Source organism: Homo sapiens, chromosome 10, assembly GCF_000001405.40.
Source record: "Homo sapiens chromosome 10, GRCh38.p14 Primary Assembly".
NCBI lineage: Eukaryota > Metazoa > Chordata > Mammalia > Primates > Hominidae > Homo > Homo sapiens.
Window position 1 is genome coordinate 24,980,915 of NC_000010.11, and position 14,468 is coordinate 24,995,382.

The 14,468-nt window shown below is 38.9% G+C and overlaps 2 protein-coding genes across 6 annotated transcripts in view; one reads left to right on the forward strand and one right to left on the reverse strand.

Annotated features, from left to right (window-relative positions):
* THNSL1 (threonine synthase like 1) overlaps positions 1 to 14,468 on the forward strand; it is a 74,301-nt gene that overhangs the window by 28,551 nt on the left and 31,282 nt on the right. The gene's annotated exons all lie outside the window — the stretch shown is intronic.
* Positions 1,071 to 14,468, reverse strand: part of ENKUR (enkurin, TRPC channel interacting protein) — an 80,343-nt gene continuing 66,945 nt past the window's right edge. For 2 of the 4 annotated variants that reach the window (NM_001270383.2, NM_145010.4), the window contains exons 4-6: positions 9,549 to 9,695; positions 3,822 to 3,991; positions 1,071 to 3,462 (exon numbers count right to left, since the gene is read on the reverse strand). In NM_001270383.2, the coding sequence (NP_001257312.1) occupies positions 3,456 to 3,462; positions 3,822 to 3,991; positions 9,549 to 9,695 (324 nt within the window). In that variant the 3' untranslated portion in view covers positions 1,071 to 3,455. The remainder of the gene's footprint in view (positions 3,463 to 3,821; positions 3,992 to 9,548; positions 9,696 to 14,468) is intronic. The other 2 variants (NR_072992.2, NR_072993.2) reach the window with 2 other exon arrangements.

Sequence of the window (14,468 nt, forward strand, 5' to 3'; positions counted from 1 at the left end):
TTCACCACGTTGGCCAGGCTGGTCTCGAACTCCTGACCTCAAGTGATCCACCCACCTCAGCCTCCCAAAGTCTGGGATTACAGGCGTGAGCCACCGCACCTGGCCCAAAGTACCTTTTGATTATGATTTATCTTCCCACATAGTTTGACAACTGGGACAGAATGCACTGATTATGGGGATTTATTTAGCTGAGAGGTATTTCTTAATTTAAAAATCGATGTCCAGGCAATAACTCAGGCTCACATAGACTTTAATTCATGTGCATCTGACTCTGAGTTCCTGAGAACAGTGACGCATGGGCCCTCAGGTCAGGTCCTGGGCCACATTAATTCACTAATAAATATCACCCATGAGGCTTTGTTGGACACAACCTTGCAGACCTTTCTCCTCAGTGACTCTCTGGCATCATTACTGATTTAAGCTTATCTTTCTTTTTGAATGCCTGTGCTGAGTAACTTAGGAAGTATTGCCAAATTTTTGCCAGTTACTAGAGATAAAAGTTACCAAATATAGTTATCATTTTTGTGGGCCACTGAAGAGATTAACCAGGCTAGGCTAATCTCAGGCTGGAACTTCTAAGTGGTTCAAACAAGTCCTCTCCTGCAACCAGATTTTATGGGTGTGGGAAATTCTATTGATGGTATGTTAATGGGCCTAGCACCAACTGGACAAAAGGACTATGGAATTGAGAGCTCTTAATAATAAGTCATAGTATTAAGTTGTCTTTCTACGCGCCAGGAACTATGCTGTTACGCACGTATTGTTCCATTCATTCTCATAACTCTACAGATCATGGAATGGTTTAGCAATCCCATTTACAGAAAAGGAAAACATGGCTTAGAAAGGTTATGTAGCATACTTAGTAAGCAGCTGAGCTGGAATGCAAACCAGAGCCTACCTGACTTTAGTACTTGAGATCTTAAGCACCACGTGAAATTGCCTCCTTCTACCTTGATTTTGTACTAACTGATTGGTATGGAATCAACTGGTTTGTTTAGCAGTCAAATTCTCTATCCTCCAAGTCTGACTTATGTCATGATAATAATATCAAGAGATCATTAAAATACATGTTTGGGTACGATCCATTACTTTATTCATTAAGGATTTTTTGAGTACCTTCTCTATACCAGCTGTTATGCAGATTCTAAGGAATGCAGATGAAAATGTATACAGTGTCTTCTCCCCCATAAGCTTGAAATGTTCATGGAAAACAGGCAAATAACCAGATATGCACAATACAATATGACCAGTGCTATAAAGGAAGGCCAGATTCTGAGGAATCAAAGGGGATTGTCATGGAAATGTGATGTGAGCTGATGAAGACTAGGGATTTGCCAGGCAGCTATGTAGGATGAGAGAAAGAAAAGGGCAGTTTTCTGGGTGGAGGGAACCATGTGTGCAGATCTCAGAGGTCTCTAGTACCTCAGTACTATGGGAATGCCAGTTACAGTGGGTAGGGAAGAAGCAGCATTTCAAGAAATCAAGCTAAAAAGATCATAGACAAGGGGCCAGACCACATCAAATCTTTATTCTACCCATTCTTCCTTTGAACAGGAAGAGAAACCAAGTCAAACTAGCTGCATAATGAAGTTTGACTTTTTAGTTTCAGGTGTCTACTCCCAAGTGACTGCAGTCTCCATGTCTCTTAATTCATGCTCTCAAGAGAGAGAGAATCTGATCAGTCACTGGTCAGCTGTCCAAGTCAGATGTTTGTCCCTCTTTTGGGTGATAGGATGACCTAGGTATGTATGTGTATGGATTGGGGGAGGTTGAACTGGCTCTATCCAAGTTTGGGATCCCGTGGTAGGGATCACCTTTCCAGGAACAATGGATGGGAATGTTTCCCTCTGAAGGCTCTGTGAAAGAAAGGCAACAATGTTCATCTAGGACAACACTGTAGACCATAGAGAAAAGTCTAGATTCTTTAGTAGACATTTACAGAAAGCAAAAGAATTAGCTGTTAAAACCACAAAGTTTTCATTTTAACATTTAAGGCAACTCCCACTCATGACTTCAAAGCATAATATCCATAAGGCTAAAGTAATCAGAATATTTTTGCATTGCTACTGATTTTGAATTATTTAAAAATGAGTATGTATAGCAATCATTTCACAAATAAAATACTTACCTAAACATCTCATCCTGAATTGGCAGAGAAAGACTGCCTGGATCAACAGAGTCACCAGACAAAAGGAGACTGGGTCCCTGAGTGACTGCATGGAACAGACTTATACCCCTACCCTTAGTCACATTGCACAGTGATGTAAATGAAAAATGTATCTTTATCAGGAAACTGAGATTTGGAGTTAGTTTGTTAAAGCAACTTAAGTTGCTTACTTAGCGATGCAAACGGGAATGATATGCATCATTTCTAGGCCTGGCCTGTACGTGCCTCTCCCTAACTCTGGATCAGATGCATCCTACCCACTCTGTAAGTCTGGGTCCCTGAGTGACTGCAGAAAAGGGTTCCTGCTGACCTGCTCACAGCAAAGTACTGCTATGTTAGCAAGAATTGAATATGTGTTTACGTAATTATACATTTTGGAGTGTACTGTCACAGCTGTTAGCCTACCCTAAATAGCAACCAACCATTCTTGGTAAGTGAGAATTTGTCATATATTATCCTTTATTTTATATCTGCCCTAAGTTAATAAAGGAATAAAGATACTCATATGGACAAGTTTCAAGTGAATTTTCAAAAAATAATTGTATATAAACTACTTTTCTTTAAGTAACCAAAATAAGCTTTTCTATAAGGCTTCCAAATTCTGTGTTTGTGAAAAAAGCCTGAAAGACTCCCATATTTTGTTTTTTATGTTGTCCAGAGGATAAAAACCAGTGTAAGCAGTAGAAATTGTTATTTCTCTGATATTTTATAGTTGCATATATTTTACCAAATTTTTCTAATTTAAAATTTCATAAAATAACCTTTTCCTTTTAGATATTTAGAGCTATTTTTTCTTATTTTTGGGTTGAAAACAGCTCTACTAACATAAACTTATTGCTTAATAGATTATGTAATCTTACAAATGTAACTTTAGAATTCACAAAATAGATAAGTAGAAAGGACCAAAAGGAAAAAAACATTTAAATAAGATATGCATAGTGAGTTGTGGAATAAAATAAGAGTATCGAGGTTGGTATGCTAGAAAGGAGGCTATTCTCCTTAATCATCCTCAATGATGCCTTTATAAGTTGTCATCTTGATTTTGTAAGTTGTCTTCTTAATTTTTCTTCCTCCAAATAGAAGCCTTTCATCATATACAGTGTTACGAATACTGAAAATATTTCTCACTGGGAATAACTGCAAATGTCATGGGCCACAGGAAAATACATCTTTTGCATTTGTGGAGCTCAGAAACAATGTGTTGGAGACAGTTTAGAGTAGCAAGAAGGCACGTGTTACTATTTCCAGTTCAAAATACTTAACAGTTTTCAAAGTTGTGCTGTTGGTATCATGCGCTGCAGAAAAAAAAAAAAAAAAGTGAAGTTCTGAGTGCTGACTTTATTTTTCAGGACCTAGAAATTAATGTTTATGTGAAACAAGTACATAATAATAATGAATTACATTGTGGAACTGGAACACATATTCTCAAATTTAATAGTTTATATGTGGAAAACGTGACACTAGTAAAAACAAAATTTCTTCTTGTGTAAGTGAATAACTCAATTATTCTTTGCATATTGCCTAAGCATTCTGATTAAGACTATTTTTATTCTCTTCATAGTATTTTCCTTTTTGAAAAACTTGGAGTTTTTTATATTTTCCATGTTTTTTTCCCCTACATTGAAATTGTTATACTTTAAAGATCCATTCTTACTTATTGGCAATATAAATAATCTTGTGCTTTTCAATTATGCCAATGTCGTGTTCTAGTTGTTTCATTTCTTCTTCCAGCCTCTGCTTGCGGATCTTCTTTGGTATAGAATCTATAAAGACCGAGAGGGACTGGAATTCTTTATGCACCTCTTCCCAGTTCTTTTTCAGCCCCTGCAAATGGTCAAGAAACTTGTAAATACCAAAGCAAACTGCAAAAGTAAAGGAAATGGGAAAAGCTAATTGGTAATGAAAAATGTCAATAAGTAAAAGAAACTGACAAAAATAACTTCTAAAATGAAATGTATTTATCAAGTACTTGGCCACGGTAACCAAAAATACTGTACAGAGGCCAAATCCCATCCTTGACTGTGTGCTCAGTTCCCACTGGGAGTATTTGTTTGCTCTGCTTTTGTTGTTACTGTACTTGTTTTTACCATCAAAAATGTACACGCAGAGTTATGAGTAGTGTGAAGCTAAAGCTCACAGCAAATGCATGGGTAAAAAACAACTTAGAATGATATCCTCGAGTCAAAAACATTTTTGAACAGAAAATTGTTTTGTAAAATTTTATTTTTTATCCTCATTCTTCAACAGACAAATCACATAAAAGACCTAATTCTGATGTGGATGGCTATATTTTCTTATATCTAACAAATGGGATTGTAAAATTGCCAAAATTCACTTGTACAAAAGATGATCTTCTAAGTGTCCTTTCAATATATTAGAAAGAACCAATTGCCCTCCATATAGTCAAGGGATCTACAGTTCCCATTAATGTATTCTATAAATGATTGAAAGGTCATTAAATGTAACACACATGCTAATTCAATAATGTAGCTAACAGTTTCTATTCTCAGAAATCAACAAATTCAAAATTAGGGATCTCTTAGGAGCAATAAAAGTTATTTCTGTTTCTGCATAATTATCATTTTTTTATCACAGTGCCCTATGGGCTCCACAGACAAAATGGTCTTAAACTAGTAATTAAATTAATTCAATGAAATTTTATAAGTCAACACTTTTTAATTATTCATTATGGGCACATAGATTATTTTATTTACACAAAAGCAAAACAGAAAGTGCAATTTAAGATACTGCCTTGACAGGTGAATTGCTTGAGCCCAGGAGTTCGAGACCAGTGTGGGCAACATGGCAAAACCCTGTCGCTACAAAAAATACAAAAAATAGCCAGGTGTGGTAGCATGGGCCTGTAGTCCCAGCTACCTGAGAGGCTGAGGTGGGAGGATCACCTGAGCTCAGGAGGTTGAGGCTGCAGTGAGCGATGATTGCGCCACTGCACTCCAGCCTGAAACAACAGAGCAGAGACCCTGCCTGAAAACAAAAACAAAACCAAAACTCCAAAACTTAAAATACTGCCTTGAAAACATGGTCTTTGAAAACTATGGCCATACATTTAGGTGTAAAAGAGGATTACAAGTGTCTTATATAATTATGCTGTCATAGTAAGCTCTTGTACAAATTTAATCTTGTAGAAACTTTCAGGGACAATACAATTTCACTGATTTATTTCCATGCTTAGATAAAAGGGATGATGACAGGTCAGGGCACACTGTATAGAAGAGGTTGGTTGGGGAAAAGGGCAACAAATTATGAGGCCTTCTTGAGTGAGCTAAGGATCTGGGAAAGGGAAAGGATAGAAGAAAAAGTATCCAGGTTAAATTTTAAAAAGAGGAGGCTACACAGTTCTTGACAGTGTATGCGATGTATTCCAAAAAGAAGCCCTCAAAAGAATTCTATTTCTCCACAGCCTTTCATTATGAAATGTGAAAGAGGTTCCCACAGTGCTCCACAGGAGTGGCTATTGCAGAGAGGAAGTCTATGTATTTGTACATTTGCGGATATCAAAGGTTTTTCATAGCTAGTTGGGTGATGTTTCCATATTACTTGCAGTCACAGCAGCTACAGTTTTTCTCTGTATTTTCTTTTAAAGGATAGTTTGCTTTTATCTTCCAGTGTGTACAATAACGTTTGGATCAAAGTCAACAGCCAGGGATGGAAACTAAATGTAGCTAATATTTCATATTATATTGAAATACGCTACGTGCTGACTTTAAGAGGTTTTTTCATTATTTCATCTAAAAAGATACTTCATGTGTTGCAGCAATAGTGATTTTCCCTTATTGTTAATTCTTAATTTTCCTCTCTTCTATTTTAAAGCTGAAATAATATCGTTCATTTTGGAAAAAATTCAGACAGGGAGAAGTGATCTTATAATAAGAAGTTTTCAGTTTCATGCTCCTTTTGCACCCTCGCCCACCCCCAAACATTCTCCACCTTGTGGGGTGCTCCCAGCTCTTTCGCCCTCTGGCCTGAGTTCAGCCACAGAAGGCCCTGGAGGGTGGAGAGTGAGGTTGGGGCATTTCTCCTCCTCTCCTAGGACAGTCTAGACATGGGTTCTAGCTGCATTCATCTGTGACTATGACCCTCAGCCCAGCTCCAGCTCTCACTGGATTCTGACAACACTGCTTCTTGTGCCTGCTGCCTTTCAAGCGTAGGTGGTGGTAAATTCCTACTGTCCCTGCTCCTGGGGTGCCTCAGTGCTTCTTGTTGGTTCCCTTAACCCTACTTCACTTCTGTCAATAATTCCTTCATAAATTCTCTTCAGTGGCCACTGCTCATGCCTGCAATCCCAACACTTTGAGAGGCTGAGGGAGGAGGATTGCTTGAGGCCAGGAATTTGAGACCAGCCTGGGCAACATAGTCAGACTCCCTCTCTAAAAATAAAAAAATGAAATAAAAAAAAATCAGCCAGGCATGGTGGTATCCCAGCTAGCAGTGAGCCGTGATTGTGCCACTGCACTCCAGCCTAGGCAACAGAGCAAGACTGTCTCAAATAAATACATAAAATAAACAAACATAAATTCTCTTCCAAGTCCTAGCTGAGTGTGCCTTCGATTTCCTGCTGGAGCCCTGACTGAAGTAGCCTCCCTTTGTTACCTCCTCTGCAAGTATGTGTTCTGTAGTGGGGGAAACACCAGCCTGGCAATTGGTAAATGAGTTTTAGTCCCTATTGATGTACTTGATAGTTTTGTGACCAAAGAGAAATGAAAATCAAACTCTAAGTTCACTGACACTGAGGACTGTGTTTATTTTGCTCTGTACAGTATCCCTCTGGCTGGAACACACTAGATATTCAATAAATAAATGAATGAACAAAGGGGCCCACAATGTATTTGTATTAACGGCTGGGCAGATTGGCTCACGCCTGTAATCCTAGCACTTTGGGAAGCCAAGGCGGGTGGATCACCTGAGGCCAGGAGTTTAAGACCAGCCTGGGCAACACAGCGAAACCCCATCTTTACTAAAAAATACAAAAAAATTAGGTGGGCGTGGTGGTGCATGCCTGTAGTTTCAGCTACTCGGGAGGCTGAGGCATGAGAATCATTTGAACTTGAGAGGTGGAGGTTGCAATGAGCCAAGATCATGCCACTGCACTTCAGCCTGGGTGACAGAGCAAGACTTCATCTCAAAAAAAAATGTATATATATATATATATGTGTATATATATATTTATATATATGTGTATATATATTTATATATGTATATATATTTATATGTGTGTATATATATTTATATATGTGTATATATATATTTATATATGTGTATATATATTTATATATGTATATATGTGTATATATTTATATATGTGTATATATATTTATATATAAGTAAAATTTATTTTTTATATTGTACATATGTTATATATAATTTATTTATATATAAAATACGTATAAATAGAGAATTTTGCAATTTAATTGGTGAGAGGAACTACGGATCTATGTACATGTAGAGATATGAATGTGTGTCTGTGTGCAGCTCCTCAGTTTCATAAGGTTCCAATGCACTAGTCACCACTGGAGGATTATAGATCTTTAGCTGGCCTGAAAATGTAGAGTGACACAGCATATGTATATATATATATATATATATATATATATATATATATATATATATATATATATATATATATATTCCTCATTTTAAAAATGAGAAGTTTGGAATCACTAGACCAGATGATCCTGTCCAGGTATAATGAGACTGTTATTTTATGAAGAATGAGCAGAATGTGGCTTACTCAGGGACATACAACCAGATTGTCATCGAACTACATGCAACTCTTGCCTAGGGAAGGAAGTGTGGCTCAGGGCTCGTCAGGAGGCCAGCCGGTGGCTTTGTTACTATGGCAGCTCTGCTCCCTGGCTCATAAGGCGTCCAGTGGATGATTTGCTATCATCACATCAAAGGGTAACTCTGTAGCGACCGTAATGGGAAGCTGAGGGCTGCTTATCTCCTACAGCCAAAAAGACACAGAAGGGAAGGACCTGTCACTTCTAAGTTCTTTGTCATATTCTTATTTTTCAGCATCATTTAGGTGTAAAAACCTGGCTTTCACAAAGGCACGTACTTTCTGAAAATGGGAAAATCCAAATGAGAGAGACAGAATGGGCCACAGACGAGAACTCTCCCTGAAAATGACATGCCAATTCTCACTTCCATGTCTGCCAGCCTTCCTTCCTGCCTGTCTGCCTTCCTCCTTTGCAGCAGACCATTTCTGAACATCTGCGTTTTCACTGGGCACTGTGCTAGGCACTGGGGATGCTGCTGTCAGCAAAGAGACACCGTCCTTGCCTTTGAGCCACTCCTACTGTCTGGGACATGCCGTCACTCTACATTTTCAGGCCCAGCTAACGATCTACAATCCTCCAGGGGTGACTAGTGCCTTGGAACCTTATGAAACTTAAGAGCTGCACACATACACATATTCACATCTATACATGTACATAGATCCATAGTACCTCTCACTAATTAAATTGCACAATACTCCACTGCAGATATTTTAAAAAATCTTATGCCTTTTAAAATATCCTCAGGGTTTAGCATTTAAGAAATGTTTATTGATGATTATGATGACATTGATAAAATGTTCAGAAGTTGTAACAGCATATGAATCCATTTTTCAACAGAGATTAATAATAAACTAGAAATGGCTTCGTGGGATGCTTTCAAAATGAAAAATAAACAAAGAATTAAGTATTATTTCTGCCTCTATAAGAGACAGTATGACTATAAAAAGTACAAAGAGGTGTTTAATTAAACGCTCATACAAATGATGAAGCAGAAACTCTTACACCCCCTAATATTTTAAATGCTTCAGATAAAAGCCCTGCATTAAAAAATCCAATATAAATATATCTTTAAGTCTATGTAATTAAAAACAAGAAAAACATATGTGAAACCTAGCACCTGTTTATTTAAAATTTTGGACATTTGCCTTATAGGAAAGGAAAAAAAGTTGTTTTAAGGACAGTTTCAATTATTCTAGAGCTCCATCTAGTGAAAAATATCTAATTTATGAATATTATTTTTCACAAACTCAGGGGCATAAAAATGAAAATAAAAATGCTTTATTTGCTTCATTTCATGCATGTTCGTTGTAGAGGAAGGTAGGCTTCCTTACAACACTAGTTCAGGAAAAAAACAGTTCACCAAATTGGAAATAAAATATTATTAAATGAATCCCTATATCACAACTTTTTGCTCTCTCCAAAGAGTCAGCTTTGCTGTATGTAGTTTTTAACTGTAACCCAAAGAGATTGTTCTGATTTCAAAATCCAAGTGCTGACTTTAATCATCAAAGTGATGGTACACCTTTCTTTCAGAGATGATCCAAAGAGTTACAGATGAATGTAAATGGCAGAACACACACCTGCAAAACTGCCTCCCTTTCTTCATCGGAGAGCCTTTTCATAGCTGCTTTCTTAAGGTTTTCCTGGATATAACGATCATAGTCTTCTTGGGCTTTCTTTATTTCCTCGTTTCGCTTACATATGTATTCAGGTGTGACACCATAATCCTAAAAAGATTTTGCAGAAAAAAGTAATCAATATTTTGTATGCAATCTTACATATGGGTACGTATCAACTGATGATGGAAGAAAAAGAAATGGTACAGACTAAATCCTTTGTTCAAAACCCTGTAAATTGACAAAATTCAGTGACTTTTTTCCCTCCATTGAGAGCTAGTAGATTCCTGCCTTTTAAAATGGAGTTGTTATTGCCCAGGCATAGTGGCTCACACCTGTAATCCCAGCACTTTGGGAGGCTGAGGGGTGGGGGGGTGGATCACTTGAGGTCAGGAGTTCGAGACCAGCCTGGCCAACATGGTGAAACCCCGTCTCTACTAAAAATACAGAAATTAGCCAGGCATCGTGGCATGTGCCAGTAGTCCCAGCTATTCGGGTGGCTGAGGCACAAAAATCTCTTGAATCTGGGAGGCAGAGGTTACAGTGAGCCAAGGTGCCACTGCACTCCAGCCTGGGTGTCAGAGTGTGACTCCATCTCTAAATACATAAATAAATGGAGTTGTTATTGCAGTTGCTTGTTTTCCCTTTTCTGAATGTTTCCCACGCCTGCTCCTGGCTGATACTTTACTCCTAAGAGTTGGCTTTTCTACCTTCTACGTTCTTCAGTTTTTACCTGAAATATCTTGAATAAGATATTCAAGAGTTGGCTTTTCTACCTTCTACCTTCTACATGCTTCAGTTTTTACCTGAAATATCTTGAATATTTTGAAGTCTCTTTTTCGTGGTCTCGTTAAAGAAAAGACAAAGTCTTTGAAAACTTATGCCTCCATCCTGTGCCTATAAAACCCCCCGAGACCCTAGCAGGCAGGCACACAAATGGCTGGACGTCGAGAGGAACACATCAATGGAAGAACGTATAAGTGGAGGCTGTTGACAGGGGCGTGCCAACAAAAGAGCACACCAATGGGCACCAGCATGCCGGCAGGCCATCGATCAGTGGAACAACGCAGAGTTTGGCCGGGGTGGTGGGAGGAGAGCCCGGGCCACAGAGCTGCCCGGCTCCAGGGAAAAACCATCTCCCTTCTGGCTCTCCCATCTGCTGAAGCTACTTCCACTCAATAAAACCTTGCACTCATTCTCCAAGCCCACGTGTGATCCAATTCTTCAAGTATACCAAGGCAAGACTCCTGGGATACAGAAAGTCCTTTGGAAGCCCTCTGTCCTTGTCATAAGGCAGGGAGTCTAATTGAGCAAACACAAGCCACCTATGGACAGCTAAACCAAAAGAGCACCCTGTAACACACGCCCACTGCGGCTTCAGGAGCTGTAAACATCGACCCATAGACCCTGCTTTGGAGTCAGAGCCTCACAACCTGCCCTTCGGCATGCTCCCCCTAGAAGTGTGAGCAGTGGGGCACTGAAGAAGTGAGCCACAGCCCTATGGTACACTCTGCGAGGGGAATAAGGGAATTTTCCCATGTCACAACGACTGACAGTGAAGCCATCAGCTGTGATTCTTTCAGCTTAGTAAATGCGTTTGATTTCACCATCTATAGAAACAGAATTACTATGTATTCCTTCTTCAAAAGATGTTTGAGAATGTACTTGGTGCTAGGAATACTAGTGAATAAAAAAGGCAAAGTTTCCGTCTTCAGGGAATTTGCATTCTATGGTGACAGAGACTCACCAAAAATAGAGAATGAAATAATATGTATGTGTTCTGAAGTAAAATAAAGAAGGATAGTGGGGGAAAAGAAAATAATAGGGGCTATTTTAGATAAATAAGGAGGTCGGGGAGGAACTCTCCGAAGAAGCAGCAGTTGGGAGGTATGGTAGTCATTAAAATTCTGACAAATATTCTGTTCTCCTTCTAGACACTTGGTAGGACAACACTTTCCTGTGTTGTCCTCATAAAGTAAGATGTAGCCATATGCCCTGAATTGCTCAGTGTCAGTGGAGGTGACCTCTGCCACTTCTCGATAGGAGTCTTAAGAATTAGTGGATGACTTGCTGTGTCTTTTCCTGTCTGGTCTAGTGACAAGCAATGTTTAGATTTTTCTGGGTCCTGGAAGAAGGACAAGAAGCAGAGCCTGTAACAACCCTCAAAGGGCACGTGGCAAAAGCAAACAATAACACTTTGTTGCTTTAAGTTACTGAAATTTGGGGATTGTTTGTCATCACAGTGTAACTTAACCCATCCTGACTGAACAAGGGATAGAAATCCTAGATATAAATGTGTTCTGGAAGCTGCAGAGGACAATACAAATAGACTCTGGGAGGCCAGTATTCTGGTCAGCTGGTGCAGTGAGTGAGACAGGCCAATCCACTTCAGGAAACACTGAAGGAAACACCTCATTACAGCTTAGTACAATAATGGAGCTTCATCATGATGATTCTGCAGGATCACAGAAAGATTAAATTATATTTGGCATACTCTGTTTAAGAAAGAGAATGACTGGGCGCAGTGGCTCAAGCCTGTAACCCCAGCACTTTGGGACAGCTAGGCAGGAGAACTGCTTGAGCCCAAAAGTTCAAGACCAGCCTGGGCAACATAGTGAGACTCCATCTCTAAAAAAAATTAAATTAAGTGTTTTTAAAAAGAAAGGGAATGGTGTGATACAGTTCAGAAAAAAAACTCACAAATGAGCAAAAGCTTCAATGATCTGAAATATTCCTATGGGCTGAATCACCGGAGGCTAATGCATACTGTTAATAAAATTGCATATATTATACTATTCACTCTTTGTTCTTTTATTAGGTGTCACATTTTGTGTCAAGTGCTCAATATACTTTATATAATTTAATCCTCACTACAACCCTGTGATAAATCCAATGGATTGTTGGAAATCACAGTTACTAAGTGGCAGAGTTAGACTTTGAAAGAATGTCTTTACTGGTATTGCTAAATACCTCATGTGATCATCTATCCTTGCTTGTTTTCAGAAATTGTTTCTCATGGTATGAATGGCATATAATTCACTTGGAGCTGAAATGGGAGTTCACTCATTTTATAAAAATATGACATTGACTTTAAAAGAATTTATTTACTATCTCACCTACCAATGATAGATCTTTAAAACTTAACTCTGATAAGGGAAAAGTAAATTGAGTAAGTCTTTCATGAGCACTGATTGCTTAGTCAGCAACACCAAAAGGGCATTAGGTGCACAGTGCTTTCATGGTTTGGTAAACTCTGGTATTTTTCTGTTTCCATGATGGATACTCCAAATTTCCTGTTGAAGGTAGAAAATGCATTCAAGTGGACAGCTTAGAGAGCAGCCAGAAGGGAGGGGCAGAGTGTGTGACAGGTGGTGGCATGACCAGTAAAGACTTTTCATATGATCATGGAGAAATAATGGACTGGAAGTGGCTTTAAGAGCCATGAGAGTGAGTTTTCCACTTTTCCCTATCCTGTGGGACAACGACTATAAAACAGTTTCCAGGGGCCACAGAAGGAGGAAGTACCTGGAGAAGCCTGAAGTAACTTTATTGGCTTATCCTGGGAACTCCTAGATTCCTGAGAAGACAGTGTCCTCTGAAAACAGCCTTGAGGGTCCTGTTTTGATTTTCCACTGGCATTGGATTTATCATGGTAGATCACTGGACTCTTCAATTTTAGGTCCCTGTACATCACTATTGCAATTTCTTTTCTTTTTTTCTTTATCTCTCTTCCTTTTTCTTTATCTCTCTCTTCCTTTTTCCTTCCTTCCTTTCCTTTCTCCCTCCCTTCCTTCATTTCTTCTTGATGCAACTTATTATTCTTTAGAATTCTGCACTCTTTTTTTTTTTTTTTGACACCGAGTCTCGCTCTGTCACCCAGGCTGGAGTGCAGTGACGCGACCTTGGCTCACTGCAACCCCCGCCTCCTGGGATCAAGCGATTCTCGTGCCTTAGCCACCCGAGTAGCTGGGATTACAGGCACACACCACCACGCCTGGCTAATTTTTGTATTTTTAGTAGAGATGGGGTGTCACCATGTTGGCCAAGATGGACTTGAACTCCTGACCTCAAGCAATCCTCCTGGCCTTCTAAAGTGCTGGGATTACAGTTGTGAGCCACTGTGCCCAGCCTGCATTCATATTTTGTGTGTTTCAAGCACTTTTAAGCTTTATAAGTGCGCAAAATAAAGTAGCATTAAATAAGATTTTTTGTAAGCTTTTTTATTTTAAAGATCTGTATTTGGCTGGGTGCAGTGGCTTATGTCTGCAATCCCAGCACTTTGGGAGGCTGAGGTGGGTGGATCACTTGAGGTCAGGAGTCAAGACCAGCCTGGCCAACATGGTGAAACCCCCTGTCTACTAAATATACAAAAAAATAACCAGGCCTGGTGATGCATGCCTGTAATTCCAGCTACTTGGGAGGCTGAGTGAGGAGAATCACTCGAGCCGGAAGTTGGAAGTTGCAGTGAGCTGAGATTGCACCATTGTACTCCAGCCTGGGAAACAGCATGAGAATATGTCTCAAAAAAAATCTATATTTAAACTATAATGTTCACCAATGAAATTACACACCTTTTCAGATACAAATGAAGGACCCAAAAGGACTAGATTATTGTACAGTACTTTCAAGTCTTTACCCAAAACCAAAACCAAATAAATATATTCATGTTAAAATAGGAATGTGAATTATTTATACTACACTGATGAGATGGATGGCTCTAAAGCTGCATTCTGCTTCATTTTTCTTATTCAGCTGCCAAGTTACTGCAATTAATGACTAAATCTTAAGACCATCTGACAGCTTATTCCTTCTAGATTTACAGTAATGACTGCTTTTAGTGACATTTCCAACTAACCAAAAATATCTTTCAGAGAATGTTTATTA